At 37.1% G+C, this 26,306-nt stretch overlaps 1 protein-coding gene across 16 annotated transcripts in view, besides 1 other annotated feature; it reads right to left on the bottom strand.

Moving 5' to 3' along the window:
* The window catches only part of ATM (ATM serine/threonine kinase), a 146,036-nt gene that overhangs the window by 68,186 nt on the left and 51,544 nt on the right, over positions 1-26,306 (bottom strand). For 14 of the 16 annotated variants that reach the window (XM_011542840.4, XM_047426977.1, XM_006718843.5 and 11 more), the window contains 12 exons: positions 21,309-21,426; positions 19,749-19,922; positions 18,038-18,207; positions 16,444-16,690; positions 13,202-13,317; positions 11,814-11,940; positions 11,116-11,315; positions 8,124-8,298; positions 7,440-7,604; positions 5,858-5,990; positions 3,535-3,630; positions 1,032-1,203 (listed from right to left, as the gene is read on the bottom strand). In XM_011542840.4, coding sequence (XP_011541142.1) covers positions 1,032-1,203; positions 3,535-3,630; positions 5,858-5,990; positions 7,440-7,604; positions 8,124-8,298; positions 11,116-11,315; positions 11,814-11,940; positions 13,202-13,317; positions 16,444-16,690; positions 18,038-18,207; positions 19,749-19,922; positions 21,309-21,426 — 1,893 coding nt within the window. Of the gene's footprint in view, positions 1-1,031; positions 1,204-3,534; positions 3,631-5,857; positions 5,991-7,439; positions 7,605-8,123; positions 8,299-11,115; positions 11,316-11,813; positions 11,941-13,201; positions 13,318-13,478; positions 13,498-16,443; positions 16,691-18,037; positions 18,208-19,748; positions 19,923-21,308; positions 21,427-26,306 lie in introns of those variants that run through there. The other 2 variants (XM_047426981.1, XM_006718845.3) reach the window with 2 other exon arrangements.
* Positions 22,982-23,781: an enhancer, noted in NCBI's record as "H3K27ac-H3K4me1 hESC enhancer chr11:108147863-108148662 (GRCh37/hg19 assembly coordinates)". NCBI's record gives its function as "activates a minimal SCP1, AML or CMV promoter by ChIP-STARR-seq in primed H9 embryonic stem cells {active_cell/tissue: H9 hESC(primed)}" and the evidence as "EXISTENCE:reporter gene assay evidence [ECO:0000049][PMID:30033119]".

Genomic DNA, 26,306 nt, shown 5'->3' with positions numbered 1-26,306 from the left:
AGCGAGACCCTGTCTCAAAAAAAAAAAAAAAAAAAAAAGAGAGAGATGAATTAATACATGTTAACACAAGGATAGACGGATGGCTAGAAGTGATTAAGCAAGGACAGCATAAAATATAGATACTATATGATAAGCATATGGGTGTTTACTATAAAATTATTTCCATTGTGCTGTATGTTTGAAACTTTTTATAATAAAATGTTTGGAAAGAAACCATACAAATTTGTTTAATGAAACAAAAACAACAACAAAAGAAAGAAATATACAGGTACATTAAATCAATAACGGAAACATGGCAGTTAGACATTATTGCCAATCATTTATTCCTCAAGAGAAGGAGGAAGGGAAGTACAGAAAAAAATCAAAACACGTATTTATCTTAGAAAGGTGCCTGGTTGTGAGGAAAACCCTTTGAGGCTACCATCAAATATGGTGGTGATGGAGTACTCAAAGATACCAATCAATCAATCAACAAATAAATAAGAGAGAGAAAGAGCATGCACGCAAAAGTAATCTCAACCAACCAGTTGAAATTTTGATATGTGGTGCAATTCTGCTTTGCACAGAGAATAAGTAATAGAAGACCCTGTCTGATTAGCTTAAGACTTCTAGGATTATAAAACAACCTCTCTGCTTTACGACTTATTTTAAAAGGATCAAAATAAGGCCTCGCTTAGAGGAGAGTGGCACCTCTGATACTGACAAGAGCCTAAAACATCTCCCTTTATATTCCCCTATCTTAATTTTCTGTGTAGAACCATCTGGCATTTTTCTTATTTATCGTTTATTTGTCTAGTCCCACTAAAATTTTAACAGGGACCTTGTCTGGAATGTTCACCATTATATCAAGTGTCTGGCACATAGTAGGGTAAATAATTATGTGAATTAATAAAAATATAAGAATTTTCATAAAGACACTGAGATTTAAAAAAGGACAAAGCTTTAGTTACTGAGAATATCTATTTGTGTGAAGTATCATTCTCCATGAATGTCATATTGAGATTACATATAAGGTATCAATAAATACTCACCAATCTTCTACCAGTGTGTTATTCAGGTAGGTCAGCATTATGAAGGTCCACTGAAGTTCTTTATCTTCAAATAACTTAAGGGCCTTGGTATAAGATGCATCTTTACTATGTTGTATAGCTATGGTAGAGAAATCTATAGGACCCACTTCTCCCAAGCAGCTTCCAACAGCCTCTACATATAGAAATTCTATTTCAGTAGAGTCATAGGTAAGAGATCATACATAAAACTGAAATTTTCTAATTTCAAAACTATAATGCTGTTTTTCTGTACTTCAAGAATTAACCTTAAGGCCGAGTGCGGTGGCTCACGACTGTAATCCCAGCACTTTGGGAGACAGAGGCGGGCGGATCACCTGAGGTCAGGAGTTCGAGACCAGCCTGGCCAACATGGTAAAGCCCCATCTTTACTAAAAATACAAAATTAGCCAGGCGTGGTGGCGCAGGCCCGTAATCCCAGCTACTCAGGAGGCTGAGGCAGGAGAATCACTTGAACCCAGGAGGCGGAGGCTGCAGTGAGCCAAGATGGCACCACTGCACTCTAGCCTGGGTGACAAAAGAAAAAAAAAAAAAGAGAGAGAGAATCAACCTTAAAACTGTTAAAATTTTTGTTGAGGTATCACACAAATTCCATAATCTTAAACACACAGTTCAATGAAAATTTATACATACAAATACACATTTTTTTCTGCCTGTGTTCTCCCTAACCAGATGAAGACAGGACATTTTCAGCAACCCAGAGGGCTCTTCGTGCTCTTTCCATCATGATGGTATTTACTAAAATATGTTCACAAATTTTTTGAGAGCCCTTCTTTCAAAGGGTAGAGCCTAACTTCCCTCCCGTTGAGTGTGGTCTGTACTTAGTGACTCACGTCTAACAAACAGAATGTATATAAGTTTTTCACCTCTTTGATTAAATTTATTCCTGGCTATTTATTTCTTTTAGATGCTATCGTAAATGGAATTGCTTTTCTAATTCTTTCTGGATTGTGCACTGCTAGTATATACAAACACCACTAATTATGTGTTGATCTTGTACCCTGCAACTTTGCTAAATTCATTTATTAGCACTACAGTAGCTTTCTTGTGGATTCTCTGGGATTTTCCATACATAAGATCATGTCGTCTGTAAATACAGATAGTTTTACTTCCTTTCTAATTGGCATGCTTTTAATTTCTTTTTCTTGTTTAATTGCTCTGGCTAGAACTTCCAGTACACTGTTGAACAGCAGTAGTGAAAGTGGACAGCCTTGTCTCATTCCTGATCTTAGGGGGAAAGCTGTGAGAACAAACCACATTAATTTTATGCTACACAGGAAAGCCACTTAGGGCTTCTGTTGTAAATCAGGTCTGTCCATAAAAGCAGTGCCACTATGGACAAGGAGGTAAGTATGTTGGTTAAAGAAAACTTCTACAGTTCTGGTAAGATTCTGTTTTTTAGTCTGGGTGCTACATGTACAAGCGTACTCTGCAAACATTCTTCAAGCTAGATATTTTTGATCTGTATACTTTTCTATATTAGGATATATCTCAATTTTTTAAAATCTACAAAAAAGGAAGTACTGTAGATATTAGGCTCCTAATGAGAAGTTAAGGCTGTTGAAGAAAGATAGTAGAATCTGTGAAACACTACTTATTCCTATTTTTCTAATTAGAAACAAAAACCATCACGAGAGCTTCAAGCTGACTTTAACCAGGTGATTTCTCCATCCCGTGGTCACTAAATCTAAACACCTAAACTAGAGATGATGTTGGCTTCTTATTTTACATTAGGTTTCCCCTCAAATGGCTGTAGGAAAGGACTTGAATGGTTTTTAATTATTTAAGTTTAATCTAGCCCTCCAAGTCTTCATTCTTATGTCTGCTACATAACAAAAGACACTGAGTACCTGTCAGTTATAATGTATTTATAAAATATATCGGCAGTCAATTTATTTGCAACTTAACTCTAAAAACAAGTATTTCTGACTTTCCTAAATATTTACAAGGCATTTTCAAATTAAGTTATACACATATGTAAATCTCTAACTTTTCATTTTATATGAATATTTAAGGAAGAAAAGTACAAAAGGGGCCTTTTTAGGGACATTTTAATTAAATAGGCATGTAACTTAGCTAGCATCTCATATTTCCCCAATATCCCAAATGACAAACCCTCACTTATTTTGAAGATATAATAAAGATAACCACTCATATAATAAAGATGACCACCGCATAACTCACATTCATTCCGCCAATACAATCATGCTTTGCTTAATGACACAGATATGTTCTGAGAAATGTGTCATTGGGCAATTCTGTCATTGCGTGAACATCACAGAATATACTTACACAAACCTAGATGGTATAGCCTACTACACACCTAGGCTACAAACCTGTATAGCATGTTACTATACTGAATACTACAGGCAACAGAAAACATACAGTAAAAATACAGTATTATAATCTGTCCTATATGTGATCCGCAGTTGACTGAAATGTCACGCAGCGCATGACTGTAGTTTACCTAGAACTTCTTTTTCACCAGTGTGGTTTATTGCCATCTTGGATAACTGCAACAAATTGACAACTAGTTTCACCATAATCCCATCTTGCGGATTATCTAGAAATAATTTTTTAAAAATTAGTTTAAACTAGCATGAAGACAACACTTTTGTTTATAATTGCATATATATTAAATTATCTGACTAGAAAACTTCTATAAAGTTTAAAAAAGGTTTTAAGTCATGAGTAGCTCAAAAAATATGTAGGGAATGAATCTGAACTTCCTTAATACAACAGATTCTTTTGAAAGTGATTAGCAATATGTGACAACAGAGAAAATAAAATGTCTTAAACAAATTGTGCAGATAAGTCAACACCTTAGCAAAATCACAAACAGAAGCACAAGAATCATTCAACACTAAAGCTAGAAGGGACTTTGGGAGCCTGCTTGGCTTTTTAACATCTAACATTTAGAGTTTAGACCAGCACTGTCCCACAGAACTTTCTGCAATGATGGAAATGTCTATAATCTACACTGTCCAATGATCACTACTGACCAAATGTACTACTGAGAACTTGATATGTGTTCAGTACCAATGAAAAAACTGAACTTCAAATTTCATTTAATTTTACTTCATTTAAATAGCCAAATGGCTAGTGGCTGTAATGCACAAGGCAGATCTCTAGCCCATAAAATACTCAAGAACACAAGTACAAGAAATAATGGTGTTTCTATTTACATACATTTTATATATCTCAAATGTATTAGAAACTCTATGCTCAGATAGTCAAAACTAAAATTCATTTTAAAAAGTACTGAGAGTAAAAACAACACAAGAGAAATATGAAATTAGGCCAGGCGTGGTGGCTCACGCCTGTAATCCCAGCACTTTGGGAGGCCGAGGCAGATGGATCACTTGAGGTCAGGAGTTCAAGACCAGCCTGGACAACATGGTGAAACCCCGTCTCTACTAAAGATACAAAAAATTAGCTGGGCATGGTGGCACACACCTGTAATCCCTGCTCCTTGGGAGGCTGGGGCAGGAGAATCACTTGAACCCAGGAGGTGGAGGTTGCAGTGAGCTGAGACTGTGCCACTGCACTCCAACCTGGGCGACAGAGTGAGACTTCGTTTCAAAAAAAAAAAAGAAATATGAAATTAATTGGTATAGGAAGATGAAAATCAAAACACAAAGTAGAAAGTTTCCCAAATACTGTAATAATGTACATTTCAAATCAAATTAACAAGCAAGCTAGAAAAACTTACAAATACATACTTACATATATATAGACACACATAACACATATGACTAAAGTATTAAAATGAGACATATTTCTTTCATTCAGGTAAACTGGACTAGAAGACAAGACTAACTTGTATGTCTGGCTCTAAGGAATTAAAATTTTCTTTTACATGGTTGGAAGGTGTTAAAAATGTTTAAGCATGGGCCAGCCGCGGTGGCTCATGCCTGTAATCCCAGCACTTTGGGAGGCTGAGGTGGGCGGATTGCCTGAGCTCAGGAGTTTGAGACCACCCTGGCCAACATGGTGAAACCCCGTCTCTACTAAAAAAAATACAAAAAATTAGCCAGGCATGGTGGCAGGTGCCTGTAATCCTAGCTACTAGGAAGGCTGAGGCACGAGAATCTGAGCTCAGGAGGTGGAGGTTGCAGTGAGCTAAGATAGTGCCACTGCATTCCAGCCTGGGCAACAAGAGCGAAACTCCGTCTTAAAAAAAAAGAAAAAGAAATGAAAAATGTTTAAGCATGGCTAGATGCCGTGGCTCACACCTCTAATCCCAATGCTTTGTGAGGCTAAGGCAGGAGGATCACTTGAGGCCAAGAATTCGAGACCAACCTAGGCAACATAGTGGGACCCCTGTCCCTACAAAAAATAAAAAAAATAAATAAAGTAGCTAGGTGTAGTGGTGTGTGCCTGTTGTTCCAGCTATTCAGAAGGCTGAGACAGGAGAATTCCTTGTACCCAGGAATTCAAGGTCATAGTAAGTTATGATGGTGCCACTACACTCCAGCCTAGGTGACAGAGTGAGACTCTTAAAAAAAAAAAAAAACTCTGTCTCTTAAAAAAAAAATTTAGGCAGTAGAAAAACATGATCATATTTGGGTTTAGAGAAATCATCTGGCAGAGGATGAATAAAACAGGAAGAGTTCAGGGTGAGAAGACCAGTTAGGACCAGTTTTACAGTTAGATGAGAAATGAGGGTCTGAACTAAATGATGAGAGTCTGAACTAAGTCTGTGACAATGAAACCAAGAGCAAGACTTTGCAAAATATTCTTTCAAAAAGAAACAGGTAGAAATAGCCCATGTCATTTAAAATTAGCACCCTGAGAAGCTCTCATAATGTCCACCATCTGATCTTTATGTAGTTCCAGTTGTCTTCGAAGATCCTTTAGTCCTTCAAGTCTTGTCAATGGAAGTGCATCATAAACACTTACTGAGAGAAAATGGTTAATTTCCTAAAAGAGAAAATGTAACTTGCTTTTAACACGTATTGGTTAAGCCTGTGAAATAAAACTTAATAAAAGAAAAAAATTAGTTAAGTGCCATTTATAGACACTGACTCATGTCTCTATTACTACTAATCAAGGAAGAAATAAATGATTTCTTCCACTGCAAACCCTACAATGTTTTAATACTCTTTTTTAGACAGAGTCTCGCTCTGTCACCAAGGCTAGAGTGCAGTGGCGCTATCAAGGCTCACTGCTACCTCCGCCTCCCCGGTTCAAGTGATTCTAATGTCTCAGCCTCCTGAAAAGGTGGCATTTACAGGAATGTGCCACCACGCCCAGCTAATTTTGTATTTTTAGTAGAGATGGGGTTTTGCCATGTTGGCCAGGCTGGTCTCGAACTCCTGACCTCAGATGATCTGCCCGCCTTAGCCTTCCAAAGCACTGGGATTACAGGCGTGAGCCACTGCACCCAGCCTAATCCTTTAAATTCTAATAGACTCTCTCATGGTAACACAGACTTCAAGATTGTTATAGCATACTCAACTGGAAGGAAATGCTTAAATTTCTCTTTAGTAGTATAACTTTACATCTTAACATACTTAAATATGTTTTTATATTTACATAGAGTCAAATACAGACTATCATTTAAAAATTATAATTAAGATATGTATGGAAGAATATACCTAAACATAATTTCGAGGTTTATAAAGATTAAAACTTAAAATATGCTTTCAAAAGTTAAACGTTATCTCTAACACAAACATTAAATTGACATTGAAAAGATCCATTGGTAGTTTTGAGCTATCAGTGGACCTTAGGATCTTATGTGTTAAAATCAAAACTATTTTACATCACATTCCTTGAAAACTTACAATTTGGATCTTTACCAGGAAGTTTTGTTATTTATACTTTGGCTTCAATGCAAAGAGATACATTAAGATTCATTTTTTTATTTCTTAAGTAGGTAGATCTCACGTTACACACACACAAGTATGTGTTTATATACACACACATATATATATATATATATATATATATTTTTTTTTTTTTTTTTTGAGACAGGGTCTCACTCTGTCATCCAGGCTGGAATGCAGTGGAGCAATCTTGGCTTATTGCAGCCTTGACCTCCAGGGCTCAGGTGATCCTTCCATCTCAGCTACCTGAGTAGCTGATTCTACAAGCACATATCACCATGCCCGACTAATTTTTTGTAGAGACGGGGTTTCGCCATGTTGCCCAGGCTGGTCTTGAACTCCTGGGCTCAGGCAATCCTCCTGCCTCAGCCTCCCAAAGTGCTGAGATTATAGGCATGAGCCAATGTGCCTGGCCTACGTATATATTTTTAATCACAATTAAAGAAAAGATTCCATTTTTTACTGCTAGAGCATTACAGATTTTTGAAAAGTACTACTATGTTCTCTAATAAAAAATAGTAGATGATGAAATTTTTATTACCTCCAAGAGTGAAAAGGGTCCTCTACTGTATTTGATTTTTTGCTGAGTAATACGCAAATCCTTAAAAACAACATGGTCAGGAAAAGGATCTAAAAGCTTAATCGTGATATAGAGGTTTTCATTATCCTTGTTATCTATCACTAAGTATTTCAACAAGTCCAATACCTAAATATAATTTAAAAAGAAAAAATTATAAGGAGAGAAATAATTTTAAAGTAAGCCAACAAAACTTACTGTAATAAATGATAAAATCTATTAACCTAGATCAGATTAAATGTTCTAATTACGTCTAAGATACCCAGCTTTTAGTTTCTGTGTTTTCAAATAATTCAATAACTATGTAAGGTACTACTACAAGATGGGTACTGAGGTTAAAAAAAATGCCAATATTAATGAAACAGTTTATATAAGTAGTAACTCAAATACCACCATAACGTTGCGAACTGCTATCCCTAGTTTTGACTACCTCTCTACTTCAGCACAGTAGATAAAACTATCAAAAGTACCAAGTGCTCTGTAATTGATTACAAAGGTTAATTCATTAAGAATATTTTTCCAATCATTTTACAAAAAATATTCTCAATAAAATCACCAATTATACCAAATAAACATAAAACACTCAAATCCTTCTAACAATACTTTATATATTTTAAATACCATTTTGAAGATGAGTCAGAAAATTACCTGTTTCTGAACCTCCACCTGCTCATACACAAGGGGTATAAGTGTACCAACAATAACATGAAGATGGTTTTCTAGAGCATCCTTACAGTAAGTCACGGCTGTCTGGCAAACCTGACTTAATAAGTCACAACAAAGGGAGAAGCTACGTAATGACACATCCATGATACAAGAAGGCCTAATATAGGGAGAAAAAAAAACAACAACAACCAGTAAGTTCTGGAAAATTACTCTGAAATAAATTCATTCAGAAGTCCTTTTGTTCAGCATCTCTAATTCTTATATGCCTTGACATAAATATTTTAATGGCTTATAAGCCAAAAAGAGAAGTCACATCAGCAAAATGCAGAATAGGCAGCTCTAAGCTTCCATCCTTTAATAGAAACATTGAAAAACAGGCAAAATTGTCAGAACTAATTTTGTTAGAATTCTGTAAAATAGTCAAAGGTTTACAGTAATCAGGAAAATATTGAATCAAGAAAAATCCAACTGAAAAACAGCAGGAAAGCTTTGTGGTAACTTTACTTGTCCTTGCCCACCCCTACCCCAGCGTGGCAACAATCACAAAAGCAGTGGCCTATATCCTCGGTGTGAGACACTGGCTCATGGTAGTTCATGGAGCTAAGTAGATTAGTTGCAAACTATTGTATATGTCTATTCTAACCTGTCTGGAACCAAGGACTGATGTAAAGTGCGTAGCTCTGTTTTGTTTAACTTCATACCAGCTACAAAAGATATGGGTGTTGCTTGAAACTTTGTAAGGCAGACCAACAACCTGCAGGTGCATAGGGCAAAAGATTACTGTTGAGACATACAAGAGGCTGCCTAAAGCCTAGGAGTAGCTGGGGAGCGTATTTCTTTGGGAAATTAGTATATTCAAAAGCACCCACAAATTAGGGGGAATTCAGAAAGCCACACACATGCTCAAGATAAGACTCTTGCTCAGAAAAGACCAGAGAAGACCCTAAGCTTGTATTTGGGGCTGATCCCAAGCAATGCAAGCATGGCTAAGTGTTGAAGAAGAATCCTAGCATAAAGCCAATCTGCAAACACTAGGAAAAGTTTTCTCCTCTCATGCTTCCTCATCCCAACACTCTTGGTATCCAAGGAAATCTCTATCAAACACTATCTAAACACAAGCTAAGGTACAAAGTTTTCAGTGACCACACAAGGCAAGACACAAAAGGACATATATTGTACAACTCTAGATTAAAATATCTACAATAGGCAAATTCATTGAGACAGAAAATAGATTAGTTTCTCAATGGCCAGTGGGGAGGAGGAATGTGGAGTTATTGTGGAATGAGTAGAGAGGTTCAGTTTGAGATAATGAAAGTTTGGACATAGACAGTGGTGATGGTTGCACAACAATGGAAATGTAATTGATGCTACTGAACTGGCCATTTAATGGCGAAAATAAAAAATTTTATGTTATATAGTTTACCACAATAAAAAAGACCTTAAAAAATAGAAATCTCATTAAAATCAATGGAAAAGATCAGAGATGCTAAATTGAACAACCCCAATTCTTGTTTTGTTTTTGTTTTTTCTTTCTTTTCTTGAGACGGAGTCTTGCTCTGTCGCCCAGGCTGGAGTGCAGTGGTGCGAATTAGACTCACTGCAAGATCTGCCTACCTGGTTCTGGCCATTTTCCTGCCTCAGCCTCCTGAGTAGCTGGGACTACAGGCACCTGCCACCACACCTGGCTAATTTTTTTGTATTTTTAGTAGACACGGGGTTTCACTGTGTTAGCCAGGATGGTCTCGATCTCCTGACCTTGTGATCCACCCGCCTCAGCCTCCCAAAGTGCTGGGATTACAGGCGTGAGCCACTACACCCGGCCGAACAACCCCAATTCTATAGTAACATTTATTTGAGGCCATCAATAGCTAGAATATTAGTATTAAAATGTTGAAGATCCTTCTTAAGATTTCTAGAATTGGAGAAGTAGTGCTTTTTTTTTTTTTTTTAATTGAGTGAAAGTCTCACTCTGTTGCCCAGGCATGAATGCAGTGGTGCAATCAAGGCTCACTGGCAGCCTCAAACTCTTGAGCTCAAGCCATCCTCCTACCTCAGCCTCCTAAGTAGCTAGAACTACAGGCGCATATCATCATACTTGGATAATTTTCTTTTTTTTTTTTTTTTTTTTTTTTTTTTTGAGACAAGAGTCTCGCTCTGTCTCCCAGGCTGGAGTGTAGTGGCACAATCTTTGCTCACTGTAACCTGTAACCTCTGCCTCCTGAGCGCAAGCCATCCTCCCACCTCAGCCTCTGGAGTAGGTGAGACTACAGGTGCATGCCACAATCCCTGGCTTATTTTTTAAAAAATTTTTGTAGAGATGGGTTTTCACATCATGTTGCCCAGGCTGGTCTCTAACTCCTGGGCTCAAGCAATCTACCTACCTCAACCTCCCAAAGTGCTGGGATTATAGGTGTGAGCTACCACACCTTGCCCTAATTTTCTTTTTTAAAAAATTTTTAGTAGAAACGAGGTCTGCTATGTTTCCCAGGCAAGTAGCGCAATTTTTAAAAACTAATAAGTAAATATAATAGACATCTTAAAAAGCAAAATTCAGAAAGCAACATTCTGGTATCTACCTCTTAGAAGCATATAAACTTTCAATTAAAAGAACAGGATAGGTTGGGCATAGTAGCTCATGCCTGTAATCCCAGCACACTGGGAGGCTGAGGCTGACAGTTCGCTTGAGCCCAGGAGTTTGAGACCACCCTGGGCAATATGGTGAAACCCCACCTCTACAAAAAACACAAAAAATTAGTCAGGCATGGTGGTATGCTCCTGTAGCCCCAGCTACCCGGCAGGGTGAGGAGGAAGGATAATCTGAACCCAGGAGGTTGAGGATGCAGTGAGCCGTGACTGCACCCAGCCTGGGCGGACAGAGTGAGTCTTTGTCTCAAAACAAAACAAAACAAAGCAAAAAAACAGGAAGAACAGGATAGAAAGACTGCTTATATATTGGTCTAAATATGTTATTTACCTTTGGTTGATATAGTGAATCAAAGTATAAATAACGTCTCGAAGAACAAAGGCCCAAGCTCCTCCTAAGCCACTTTTTATATCTTTCAGTAATAAACTAACAAACAGGTGATATATTTTAAGAATTCTGTGCTTCTTATAAACATTATTTGTTTCAGCTGCTTGCTCACATATGGCAAGAAGAATTTTCTGATAGGAATCCTAGAAAATAAACAGATTTAGTAAAAACTTGTTTAATTAGATACTCGGCTACAATAAATACACTTTATATTTTTTCTTCAAATATTTGAATACCTACACATTTTATATTTAAAATAACTAAATAACAGAATTTAGATTTGGGTTTGATATCAAGTACAAAATGTTACATTAAGAAAATTACTATCTTAAACTATTGCCAATTTATTTAATTTTCAGAAAGTAAACTACAATTAAATAGTATATTCCTATGAAAAAGTAGATATATTCCCTGAGCTAATATATCACTAAAGTGTCACAAGATTCTGTTCTCATATGTAACATATTTCAATTAATGCTGACAAGTAAAATACCATTTAAACTTGTAAATGAATGTTTTCCTTTTTAATTATGAGATAAATTTTTCATTTGTTTACTTTTCCTCTTTAAGATGTATTTACAAAGTTTTTTTAGCTAAAAAAGAAGGAATGTTCTATTATTAAACTCATCATGTATACTTACAGGGCTTTTGGAAAGAATTTCTAAAATGCTTTTTAACTTGGTTTTATGACAATTGCTGATATAGGCAAATGTTGCTTTAATCACATGCGATGGAAAATGAGGTGGATTAGGAGCAGGATCCAAATCCCTAACAGAGTTAAGGGAAAAAATACAGTCATCGTTTTAAAAAGTTTTGTTCATAGACCAGTGAACTTCCAAAATGAAAATTTAGATTTTAATAACCCCCAAATTCAAAAACCATTTTTCTACTGAAAAACTATACTTTCAATAAAATCACAAATGACATATCACAGTCCAGATATATAAATCAGATTATCTAAATACCTTTCACCCTCAGTAACTTAAATAATCTTAAATGATCTTATAATGATTTTCTTAAAAAATCTTATAAAGTTAAAAGGCAGTTCAATAAATGAGCCTCAGTATTACTTCAGATCAGAATCAAAGCTCTATGCCAGTACTGTAAAAGCAGTACTTTAAGACATGGCAATCAACACTTATTTAGACAGCATGAAATTACATATGTGAAAGTACTTTCTCAGATATTATTACTATTTTATATGCCCAGCACAGTAGGGCACATTAAAAAAAAAAAAAAAAAAGTAAAGCATATTTTCAAGTAGCTTACAATCAAGCCAGGGAAACAACTCTGATGTTCATATACAACTCAGAGACATTCACATCCAAATTAAATTGTACAGATAATAACGCACAATAAAGAAAAGGTGAGGCTGGGTACGGCGGCTCATGCCTGTAGACCCAGCACTTTGGTTGGCCAACACGGGGGAATCATTCGAGGCCAGAAGTTCAAGACCAGCCTGGGCAACACAGTGAAACCCCGTCTCTACCAAAAATATAAAAAATTAGCCAGGCGCAGTGATGTGCATCTGTCGTCCCAGCTACTCGAGAGGCTGAGGTGGAAGGAAGGATAGCTTGAGCCTGGAAGACAGAGGTTGCAGTGAGCCGAGATTATGCCACTGCACTCCAGCCAGGGCAACAGAGTGAGACTCCATCTCAAAAAAAAAAAGAAAAGGTGATCTAGAAAGGCAAGACCTAGATAAAGAGAAGAGAACTAGGAATAATGTGTATGAAGAAAAAAATTTCAAGGGCCAACAGATGGCACAATGTTCAAATATTACAGAAAGACTAAGAAAAGGTTATTGGGTTGGCCAACCAAGTGGTCAATTTAGAAAGAGTAATTACTGTGGGGAGACTATGGTAAAAGAGGATAGGTAATTACCTCAATTCAAAGGTGGCTATTTTTAAAGAAAATTTTTTAAAAAGAGTGATGTCTATAAATTGAAATAGACATTGAAGGTGTCAACCAATAAACTTCTTTAAAAACTTGTGAAGTTAGAGCTAGTTCTCTAAGTTTAAAATGTACATACCCTGAAAAGTCACAGAGGTCAGTGCTCTGACTGGCACTAGAATTTGCTGGCTCATGTAACGTCATCAATAACTCCACCACAATCTCTGGTAAATTACTAATGAATAAGTGATCAATCTGCAAGGGCACAAAATTAAAATATATTTAATATTTTATATCTGTGAACGTCAAGACAGCTCAAAAGGCATATATTACCTTATTTCCAAAAGTATTCGATGACTGTAAAAGAAAATAGATGACTCAAAGTCCAAGATTTACAAGATTATAAATAACTCTACCTTTTTCTTCTATGCAGCCAACCTGTAGACTAAGAGGAAAAAGTATGAAAATCAGCCAAACAAGGCCCCCTTAATCCAATTCTTCAATTTTAGAGAATCATTTTAAATAAGACTTCAGGTCTATCATTAAGTTGTATGACCTGGTAATTTTTCTGCCAACCAAATTTCCCACTGATGTATAACTGCTCCTCTATCTGAATTTTACTCTTGACTTTATTTGGGAATTCTGTCTCAATTACAGAACTTTACTGTTAAGAATTCCCAGGGACTGCGAACAATGTCATCTTTGTTCCCTGCGTAACTTCTTCCCAGACTTCTACTTGAGTGCCATCCCAAATTCTAAGGCTAGCTGCGATCCACATCCCCTTTCATCAATAGTAGAATAAAACCCTCCCCAACAGATTTGGACTTTTCATTAATCTACTTCCCACTATAGACAGGTAGCTTCACAAAAGACACAAATTCTCTAAATATAAAGAATAAGTCTGCTATGTTGCACTTTAGTTAAATGAATGAGAATTGTGAAGTCTTAAGGGTGAATATAACAACTTTCCAAATAAGGAATTACAGTGATAAATGGCTAATTTACTTAATGCATAAGGAAGTTCAAAAACATACTTCCTAATAACAAAAAATATTTTAGAAGGTGACAAGAAAGAAACCTAACGTAAATGAGGCAGGGCAATAAGGTCTGGAGGCAGGGAACCTAAGGTCAATCCATGCTGACCTCCTAGAACGAAATCAAAAGGAAAACCCCAACTTTCCATGCTCAAGTAACAAAAGGACAAGAGGCTACTCCCTTTGCAACCCCCTCCCTTTTACTGTGGCAGATAAGAAATTGAAAGTACCTCTGATTGGTCCCCTCCTATAACCAATCAGACTGATTACAGACCACTACTTCATTTACATAGGGTGTATACCAAGTAACCAATGGAAAACCTCTGAAGGGTATTTAAACCCCAGAAAATTCTGTAACCAGGCCCTTGAGCCACTTGCTCAGGGCCCACTCCCACTCTGTGGAGTATAATTTCATTTTCAGTAAATCTCTGGCTTTGTTGCTTCATTCTTTCCTTGCTTTGTTTGTGTGTTTTATACAATTCTTTTTTTTTTTTTTTTTTTTTTTTTTGAGACGAAATCTTGCTCTGTTGCCCAGGCTGGAATGCAGTGGTACAATCTTGGCTCACTGCAACCTCCACCTCCCGGGTTCAAGTGATTCTCCTGACTCAGCTTCCCAAACAGCTGGGATTACAGGCACACACCACCACACCCAGTAGAGATGGGGTTTCACCATGTTGGCCAGGTTGGTCTTGAACTCCTGATCTCAGGTGATCCACCCGCCTTGGCCTCCCAAAGTGCTGGGATTACAGGCGTTAGCCACCGCACCCGGCCAAGAATTTAACTTACATCTTTAACCAAAAAGCTAAGAAACTGTGATTTAATTTTTGCTGTTCTTCATTCTTGAGGCAAGAGTTTCAATCGAAGTTGAACGTAATTACTTTTCCCTCCAAAACCTATTCAGGCTCTAAAAATTGCTGTCTTTTGGTTTGAATACATTAAGAAAAGAATAGTAAGATTAAGAATGCTCAGAAGACTAAGCTGGGAGATTGAATGGGAGTGGCTAGAGGCTGAGTATCTCTCTCAAATTCCATAACCTCTGGAGTGCCTATTTCTGTTCCAGCTGTCTTTGGGAAAGGAGTCCTCTGCTCACCATTTCCCTTCAGACTGCAGACTTACAACCAGTTCTGAATAGGTCCACCTAAGCAACTAAGGAACTTGCTGTTCCATTTCTTGGTTCAATATAGATAACTAGGAAACTAAAAAAAAAAAAGGTCCCTTGAAGTTTATCTAATATTGACCAAGTTTGGTTACTTATCCCTTACTTATATCCAAAATAAATAAATACATACATAAATGTGGGGTGACCACAGCTTTTTTATCTTAAAAAATTTGTATGTATGTTTTAATATAAGTTGCTTCAAAAAATTTTGGAAATGTATATAAATGATTATAAAACAAACGAAGCTTTTTAAATCCTTCCTTACTTGACTCCTTCTTTTGACAAACATTTAATGAATACTCAAAATATATTAGAGATACATCAGCCAAAAAAAAAAAAAGAGAGAAAAATGTATACTGGAGAAGACTGGTAAATAATAAACATAATTCAAAAGTAAATTATGGTCTGGCAAGGTGGCTTACATCTGTAATCCCAGCACTTTGGGAGGCTGAGGTGGGAAGATCACCTGAGGTCAAGAGTTAAAGACCAGCCTGGCCAACATGGTGAAACCCCGTCTCTACTAAAAATATGAAAATTAGCTGGGTGTGGTGGTGCGCAGCTGTAGTCCCAGCTACTTGGGTGGCTGAGGCAGGAGAATTGCTTGAACCCAGGAGACAGAGGCTTCAGTGAACTGAGATCATGCCACTGCACTCCAGTCTTGGCAAAAGAGTAAGACTCTGTCTCAAAAACAAAAGCAAAGACAGAAAAAAAAGGTAAATTGTATCATACATTAGAAGGTAATAAGTGTCACAAAAAAACAAACAGCAGGGTATGAGAACTATAGGAATGAGGGACGGTTGTTTTTCTTGAAAAGTGGAAAGCTTGGTGAGATTGAAGAGGGAGTGAAGGTTTTCTGTACACTGTTTAGTATTCCTTGACTTTAACAACCAGTTTGCATTCGTGTATTACAACAGTTAAAATAAATTTTTAAATGGCAGAAGAAAATTATTCAAATGGTTTTTTGGATTATTTCTAATTTAAAACATTTCTACTTAGTTAAAAGCCAATCAGAGGGAGACAACACGACATAACCAAAAAAATTCATGGGTTGGCTATGCTAGATAATGATTACCACAAGCTAAGTTTCAATATATAAATACGAATAAATCGAATAAATAGCCTTAAAACTTAAAGGTTATATCTCATATCATTCAGGGAATGAAAAGTACATAAAAATTGAAGCCATACCTGTTTTCCCAATAAGTTTTCACTTTTAAGCATATCATAGACCTTGGTAGCAGTCTCTCTTTGCTGTGCCATCCCACTGTCTCTGGTACCCTCATAGGCAAAATAAGGAAGAATATTTACAAGAATCTTTGGAAAGCAGTCTGTTAGAAGACTTTTCCAGTCCTCTTGAATCTGATTAGCAATGGACTTCACCTCATCAAAATGACTTCTAATCACCAGATGTGGAATCAAAACCTTATAACAAGATCTAAAAATAGAAAAATTTAAAATACAGGTTATATATAACTTTTCCAAGTAAAATTTTATAAAATAGTTCTTAAAAACTGTTTTAATACCATCAGCATTAAAGTATCATACTTTATCCAGATTATTAAACATTCTTTAATTTTATAAATGGAAAAATTAAGTAAATTCTAAATAGTCACATTAAAAAAATTAGAAAGCTTAGAACATACCACCACCATAATTATGGGATTTAAAAATGGGACCTTGTTCAGTAGCACCCTTAGCAAAAAGAAAAAACAAAACAATAAACAAATAAAAATGGAGACTTGAATTTATATTTATTTCTTCTGCATAATCAACTAACATAAATGCAGTTGACCCTTGAAAAACATGGGTTTGAACTTATACTTGCATATTTTTCAACCAAATGCAGATAGAAAAACAGTATTCACAGGATGTGAAAGTCTGTATATACAGAGGACTGACTTTTCATATACGTGGGTTCTGCAGGGCCAACTTGGTGACTTGAGTACGCGTAAATTTAGGCATACATGGGGGATCCTGGAATGAATCCCTCGCATATACAGAGATATAGCTATATTGTTCTTGCCAAAATGAATGAACTATAAGGACCACTAAATTTACTTTTGTAGGAATATCCTTCTTAAAGGAAACTACCTACATACAACTCATAATCTATTAGAAAACTCTATTAGGATAAGTCTGAAACTCAGATCTGTGATACACTACATGTAAAATGCATAGCAAAGTCCATAACACAGAGCATGTTCAACAAATATGAGATGCCTTCCCATCATCCTGATACCTAAACATTACTTTTTAGTTGTTTCAAACCTCTCCATTTTCAAATTTTTCTTCTACAGAGTTAAAGTTAGCAAAATAAAGTTTTACATTAAGTTTCTAAATCTAATAGAAGTAATAACTAAGAGGCCTATAGTCAAGCAACAGAAAAGAAAAACAAGGCAGAAATAACCAGCTACTAGTAATTTATCTTCAATTTTTTCCAAAGGAAAGATGATCAAATATTAAAGCTGAAAAGGACCTGAAAGATCTCCTTGTGTAACTTGCTTACTTTACATATTAAAAAACCAAGGCATAGAGGGTCTTTATGTGGTTTGACCAAAGTCAGATAGCTGGTTGTTGGCACAGCTAGGACCAGATCTGAAGTCCAGTGACTCCCTTCAATACATTCTTATTAAAAGAAGCTGTCCTGCTTCTCATACTATGTAGGCTCCCACACACACATGTGTATGGGTATGGTATGTGTGTTGCTGGTGAGGGGACTTGCTAAGTATTGTTAACTAATTTTAAATTAAACAAATTTCACATATGTCATGTATAAACTTACCTATAGAAATCCTCAATATTTGTGTAGTTTAATAAAATAAAAGGAAAAGAAGATAAGTTGTATTCAGTATCTTGAAGATTTAGCCATTCCAAAACCAGATAATCTAAATGAGATGCCATAAAGTCTTCTAAACGTCTATATCCAAAAGTTTCAGAAACTTTCTCTAAAACCTGCACGAACCAAAAAGTCAATGTGTTAAGAAAAATGAAAAAAATAAATCATTTAAATGCTTGTTAATATTATTTAGAGTAGGACCTAGAAACAACATTCATTCAACTTTTCTTGATTTCCTCATCTATGAGATGGGAATAATAATTAAGAAAATGTACTCAACTGGCACAGTATCTGACACATAGCAAACCCTTAATAAATGTTAAGTAAATAAAAATATAAAAATATGCTAAGAGTTTCCAACATTTGGTTATACTTAAAGGAAGATTTAATGTAAAATTACTGGCCAGTGGTGGTTCACACCTGTAATCCCAACGCTTTGGGAGTCTGAGGAGGGAGGGTTGCTTAAGCCCAAGAGTTCAAGACCAGCTTGGGCAACATAGCAAGAGCCCGTCTGTATAATAAATTAGCCAGGTGTGTGGATGTGACGACGGGCGCCTGTAGTCCCAGCTACTCGGGAGGCTGAGGCAGGAGAATGGCATGAACCCAGGAGGCGGAGCTTGCAGTGAGCCGAGATCATGCCACTGCACTCCAGTCTGGGCGACAGAGCGAGACTCCGTCTCAAAAAAAAAAAAAAAAATTAGCCAGGTGTGGTGGCACATGCCTGTAGTCCCAGCTACTCAGGAGGCTTGGGAGGATCGCTTGAGCCCAGGAGGTCAAGACTGCAGTGAGCCATGATCACATCACCGCACTCCAGCTTGGGTGACAGAGTGAGACCCTGTCTTTCAAAATAAATAAATAAATATAAAGTAAAATTATTTCTCTTAGGCTTAAATCCAAATAAGAAAAATCCAAACAATACATAACACTTATGATTATTAGGTAATGTATTTGTATACTTTTAAGAAACACCGAACAAGTCTTATACTGAGAGGTAAAAGGCTAACTGATTATAGGCTGGCTTACTCCAAAGCACCATGGAAACTATGCTGGTAGAATGTTAACTGGCATAATATCAGTCCACTGACCTACCACTGATTTATCACATAAAAATTTGCAATGGAAAGGTCTGGAACTTCCTAAACCATAAATGCTGAGGTGATGGAAAAGAGACGGGGCCAACATTCTATAATACTGTGCTGATGTAGTAATTATAAGGCTTGGACCCTAGTCCTTCTCCCCTGATAACTGAACTTAAAAGCCTGATAGCTCTAAAATTTGACTTCTGGCCCTGCTGGATCCCAATGTGCTGCCCCAGAATCTACCGGGCAAAACACCTATGCTGCTCTTGTCTCCATGTGTTTCCCTCAATAAATACTATTTCCAAAAGCCTGGTCAGTCTGGTGGACAAGTCATTCACTCTTGTTAGTACAATGAAAGCCTTGTGAAATGCTCTTAAATGGAATGTAAGAAACAGTGCATACCATAAATATACCATTTGAATAGTTTTTGTATAACTGCTTTCCAATATTCCCAACCTAAAAAATAAAATTGTTTCCTAGTCTTAAATAAGTGCCACTCAGAAAATCTAGCTTTAACTTTTTAAATTATTTCACAGTGACCTAAGGAAGCTTCTAATAAAATACTCATCCATATATACCTTTTTCACAAGGTGAGGTTCTAATCCATTCTCTTTCACAGATTTACACAGGGCAAACAAAGCCTGTTTTTCGCAGATAGGGCTACAGGATAAAACCACAGCTATCAACGTCAGTAAAACAGATTTTCTATTATAAATTTCATCCAAAGTTTCAGGGTTCTCAGCACTATGGGACTTAAAAAGAAATTAAAAAAAAAATGTAATGTAAAATGTAAATGTTTAACAATCAATTATAAAATCCCAACTGAACTCCAGATTTTTTGACAAGCTATACACATTTCAGAAACCTCCTACTCACTAATCCTAGTTCTGTCTTTTGGTACAAGAAAGAGTAAGGACCAATACCTTTGCTAAATCACAAGCACTGACATGTTTAAAAACAAATGTGAGCTTTCCACTAAGTCAATTCCTTCATCCATTTTTTATAAGACACAGATCTATAACATTCTGGCTAAAAATCTTTTACTTTACTCAGAACCAAACCAAACATTATAGTTATCCTCTAAAAAATACAGAAACATTTAATAACTAAAACAGTGTAATTGGATTGCTTGTAACACAAAGGATATTTGTTTGGGGGATGGATACCCCATTCTCCATGATGTGATTATTTCACATTGTATACCCGTATCACACACACACACACACCCCTACTATGTACCCATAAAAATTAAAAGATCTAAAAATAAAGCAAAAAGTATAAAAGATCCAAGTTCTTGTATTAACTTTGTTCATGACAATATGCTTCTATTAATGCAGTGTAAGACAGAGTTAGCCTTTTTGGTAACTGTAATACAATGTTGATTCATACTATAATCACAAGATACAAAACTTCCTAGGTCTTTTTCTAAATGAATTGCTGTCAGATCAGTATTTTCCCTTTTTGCAGATGACAGGCTGATTTAAAATGTATAATATACATTATCTCATTAGATTTTATGTTATTTACACTTATCTTTCTAATCTATTGAAATTCTTTTCTAAACTCACATTCTTTCAATTGTTCCTTTCAATTTCCTGCTATCACAGACTTGACAGTTATTTAACTACCTTAAATACTTGTAAGAAACAAACCAGGGCATAAATAAATGAAAAAATTTGAACTCTAAGATAATCATTACCATAAAAAATATATTATTCTACAGAAACGTGAAATATCACAAGTTTCACTGTAAACACCACAATGATTTGATTTTGTGTGAGATTCTTCTCCTCAATCCATTTCTTCCCATTGTCACCTGTTCCCTTAATTAGCTTTTAATCAGATCACATATAAAAGGATTTTTAAAATAAAAAAGGGAGCCATTTATACTCCCATAAAAACTCAGTTAAATTTTGGGTTTCTCCATAAAAATGCTAAACCAAAAGAAATTGCTATGATTTGACCCATTGTGACCCAGAAAGAATGCAGTTTCAATCAATTCATACAGTTGTTTTAGAGCAGCTTTATACTGTAAACTACTGGATTATAAACTCTCTTATACCAAACTTGGTGAAGTAATTTATGGGATATTCATAGCAAGCATATGATAACAGCAAATACATGTTACTTAAAATTACCATTTCTCTCATTCCTTCCTGAGCTTTCAAGTATGCATTTTCAAAAGCTGTTTGCTGAAGCTTCAAAGGAAGTGCTTTCAGTAACCTGGAAGAATCTCCCTTCGTGTCCTGGAACAATCTTAAAACAAGCAAGCAAACAAACAAACAAAAAGTGAAATAATTTTCTAATTTCAAACCCTACTTTCCAAAGCATATTCCAGAACAAAAATAAATCACTCTGTGAGACATAATAACATACTAGCTCTTTCTTAAAGACTAACAAAACCTGAGTTTATTTAAAGAGGTTCAGACCAGCAGCTTAGTATTAAGGTCTTGAATACAAAATCTATTTTCTCCTAGAACTGAAGAGGGTCTCAAAATATATTTTAACTATTGCTCAAATTTGAACAGCACTGAACTCAAACTAGCCAGAAAAGATAAACTGTTCTCTGGCCGAACACCAATTAGTTGAGTCCACAGATTCCAATGTCAACCTGCTCTAACATTTAATCACTCTGAAAGCGGGTAAGTTAATGTTTTTATGTACCATTTAAATTTTGTTTTATGTGATGGAAAAAAGTTGATCAGTACACCTTTTGCGTAACACCCACATATTTAAGGATAACTCTTTAATCAACTTTGTCTTTTATCCTTTTTTAGTAATCGAAGCTTTTATAATTGTTTATGTTCCTCTGATTCTTCTAGTTTCACTCACTGCTCTTAAAATAGCTGAACATTAGATATCTGCTATTGTCTGAATGTTTAACCCCTCCAAATGTCATGTTGAAATCTGATCCCCATTAGGTTATGCCTAATGGGAGGTGTCGGAGTCATGGGGGCAGATCCCTCACGAATAGATTAAGGCCTGAGGGTAAGGAATGAGTGAGTTCTCACTATTCAGTTCCCACAAGGGCTGGTTATTAAAAAAAAGAGCCTGGCATGGCCTTCCCCGCCTCCACCCTTGCTTCCTCTCTCACCATGTGATCTCTGCACACACTGATTCCTCTTTGCCTTCTGCCATGAGTCTGAGGCCCTTACCAGATGTAGACGCCATATGCCAAATAAACCTCTTTTCTTTGTAAATATCCAGCCTCAGGTATTCCTTTATAGCAACACAAAGGGACTAAGACAAAATCTAACAAGTGTAAAATTAAAAAAAAGAATGCTACTTGCATGTTATTCTTGAATTTATACTTTTTGAATCTTCAGTTTTTTTAATGCCACCACTACACTGCCGCCTTATTACATTCAATTCAGTCTTATATTACCTCAGTCCTTAAAGTTCAGCATACATTTGCTTTTATCTGTGAAATTTAATAAGGGCTTGAACTACTAAACATATTCATTAGAAATCCTTGCAATGCATTATGGTCTTACTAAAAACAGTTCCAAACCTGAGGAGTTAGACACAAAATCTAGTTTATGAAAACATTACTGTCGGCATATTCAAATACTGAAATATTAGTTTTAATACTTTATGTGACTGCTGAACAATATAGTAATCTTTTATTATTGATTGCTTACATTTTAAAGTTACTCAAATGATTTTCAGCTTTGATGTTTTTGAAGCATCATGTAATTTTTTTTCAAGTACATTCATTTATTTTAAAACAGTTATTGGATACCTATCACATGCCAAGTATTGTTTTAGGTGCTAAAAATACAACAATGAACAGAACAGACAAAAACCAGTGCCTTTAGGAACATATATACTAGTGGAATACGGAGAAGTAAATATATTAAAATATGTTTCACGTTATCATAAATACTAGAGAAAAATAAAACAAGGGAACAGCAAGATGGCAACATAGGAACAGTTCTGGTCTGCAGCTCCCAGTGAGATCAACGCAGAAGGTGGTGATTTCTGCATTTCCAACTGAGGTAGATGGCTCATCTCATTGGGACTGGTTAGACAGTGGGTGCAGCCCACGGAGGGAGAGTCAAAGCAGGGTGGGGTGTAGCCTCACCCGGGAAGCACAAGGGGTCGGGGAACTCCCTCCCCTAGCCAAGGGAAGCCGTGAGGGACTATGCTGTGAGGGGCTATGCTGTGAGGAATGGTGGATTCCTGCCCAGATACTACGCTTTTCCCGCAGTCTTTGCAACCCGCAGACCAAGAGATTCCCTTGGGTGCCTACACCACCAGGGCCCTGGGTTTAAAGCACAAAGCTGGGCGGCCATTTGGGCAGACACTGAGCTAGCTGCAAGAGTGTTTTTTCATACCCCAGTGGCACCTGGAACGCCAGCGAGACGGACCCATTCACTCCCCTAGAAAGGGGGCTGAAGCCAGGGAGCCAAGTGGTCTAGCTCAGCGGATCCCACCCCCATGGAGACCAGCAAGTTAAGATCCACTGGCTTGAAATTCTCGCTGCCAGCAGAACAGTCTGAAGTCGACCTGGGACACTGAAGCTTGGTGGGGGGAGGGGCGTCTGCAATTACTGAGGCTTCAGTAGGATGTTTTCCCCTCACAGTATAAACACAGCCAGTAGGAAGTTCGAACTGGGTGGAGCCCAACATAGTGCCACAAAGCCACTGTAGCCAGACTGCCTCTCTAGATTCCTCCTCTCTGGGCAGGGTATCTCTGAAAGACAGGCAGCAGCCCCAGTCAGGAGCTTATAGATAAAATTCCCATCTCCCTGACACAGAGCACCTGGGGAAAGGGGTGGTTGTGGGCACAGCTTCAGCGGACTTAAACGTTCCTGCCTGCCAGCTCTGAAGAGAATAGCGGATCTCCCAGCACAGCGCTCGAGCTCTGCTAAGGGACAGACTGCCTCCTCAAGTGGGTCCCTGACCCCCGTGCCTCCTGACTGGGAGACACCTCCCAGCAGGGGTCGACAGACACCTCATACAGAAGAGCTCCCGCTGCCATCTGGCGGGTGCCGCTCTGGGACGAACCTTCCCAGAGGAAGGAACAGGCAGCAATCTTTGCTGTTCTGCAGCCTCCATGGATGATACCCAGGCAAACAGGGTCTGGAGTGGACCTCCAGCAAACTCCAGCAGATCTGCAGCAGAGGGGCCTGACTGTAAAAAGGAAAACTAACAAACAAAAAGGAATAGCATCAACATCAACAAAAAGGATGTCCACACAGAAACCCCATACAAAAGTCACCAACATCAAAGACCAAAGGTAGATAAATCCACGAAGATGAGGAAAAACCAGCGCAAAAGGGCTGAAAATTCCAAAAACCAGAATGCCTCTTCTGCTGCAAAGGATCACAATTCTTCACCAGCAAGGGAACAAAACTGGACGGAGAATGAGTTTGACGAATTGACAGAAGTAGGCTTCGGAAGATGGGTAATAACAAACTCCTCTGAGCTAAAGGAGCATGTTCTAACCCAATGCAAGGAAGCTAAGAACCTTGAAAAAAGGTTAGAGGAACTGCTAACTAGAATAATCAGTGTAGAGAAGAACATAAATGACCTGATGGAGCTGAAAAATGCAGGATGAGAACATCGTGAAGCATACGCAAGTATCAACAGCCGAACTGATTAAGCAGAAGAAAGGATATCAGAGATTGAAGATCAACTTAATGAAATAAAGCATGAAGACAAGATTAGAGAAAAAAGAATGAAAAGGAACAAACAAAGCCTCCAAGAAATATGGGACTATATGAAAAGACTAAATCTACGTTTGTCTGGTGTACCTGAAAGTGATGGGGAGAATGGAACCAAGTTGGAAACACCCTTCAGGATATTATCAGAACTTCCCCAATCTAGCGAGACAGGCCAACATTCAAATTCAGGAAATACAGAGACCACCACAAAGATACTCCTCTAGAAGAGCAACCCCAAGACACATAATCATCAGATTCACCAAGGTTGAAATGAATGAAAAAATGTTAAGGGCAGCCAGAGAGAAAGGTCGGGTTACCCACAAAGGGAAGCCCATCAGACTTAACAGCAGATCTCTCGGCAGAAACCTTACAAGCCAGAAGAGAGTGGGGGCCAATATTCAACACTCTTAAAGAAAATAATTTTCAACCCAGAATTTCATATCCAGCCAAACTAAGCTTCATAACCAAAGGAGAAATAAAATCCTTTATAGACAAGCAAATGCTGAGAGATTTTGTCACCACCAGGCCTGCCTTACAAGAGCTCCTGAAGGTAGCACTAAATATGGAAAGGCAAAGCTGGTACCAGCCACTGCAAAAACATACCAAATTGTAAAGACCATTGACACTATGAAGAAACTGCATCAACTAATGGGCAAAATAACCAGTTAGCATCATAATGACAGGATCAAATTCACACATAACAATATTAACCTTAAATGTAAATGGGCTAAAATGTCCCAGTTAAAAGACAGAGACTGGCAAATTGGATAAAGAGTCAAGACCCATCAGTGTGCTGTATTCAGGGGACCCATCTCACATGCAAAGACACACATAGGCTCAAAATAAAGGGGTGGAGGAATATTTACCAAGCAAATAGAAAGAAAAAAAGCAAGGGTTGCAATCCTAGTCTCTGATAAAACAAACATCCAACAAAGATCAAGAAAGACAAAGAAGGACATTACATGATGGTATAAGGATCAATGCAACAAGAAGTGCTAACTATCCTAAATATATATGCACCCAATACAGGAGCACCCAGATTCATAAAGCAAGTTCTTAGACCTACGAAGAGACTTAGACTTCCACACAATAATAGCGGGAGACTTTAACACCCCACCATCAATATTAGACAGATCAATGAGACAGAAAATTAACAAGGATATTCAGGACTTGAACCGAACTCTGGACCAAGCAGACCTAACAGACATCTACAGAACTCTCCACCCCAAATCAACAGAGTAATATACATTCTTCTCAGCACCACATCACACTTATTCTAAAACTGACCACATAATTGAAAGTAAAACAAACCTCAGCAAATGCAAAAGAATGGAAATCGTAACAGTCTCTCAGATCACAGTGCAATCAAATTAGAACTGAGGATTAAGAAACTCACTCAAAACCACACAACTACATGGAAACTGAACAACCTGCTCCTGAATGACTACTAGGTAAATAATGAAATGAA

Source organism: Homo sapiens, chromosome 11 (genome assembly GCF_000001405.40).
Source record: "Homo sapiens chromosome 11, GRCh38.p14 Primary Assembly".
In the NCBI taxonomy this organism is placed as follows: domain Eukaryota; kingdom Metazoa; phylum Chordata; class Mammalia; order Primates; family Hominidae; genus Homo; species Homo sapiens.
The sequence above is the reverse complement of the archived record's forward strand: the minus strand, read 5'-3'. Positions and strand labels throughout refer to the sequence as shown.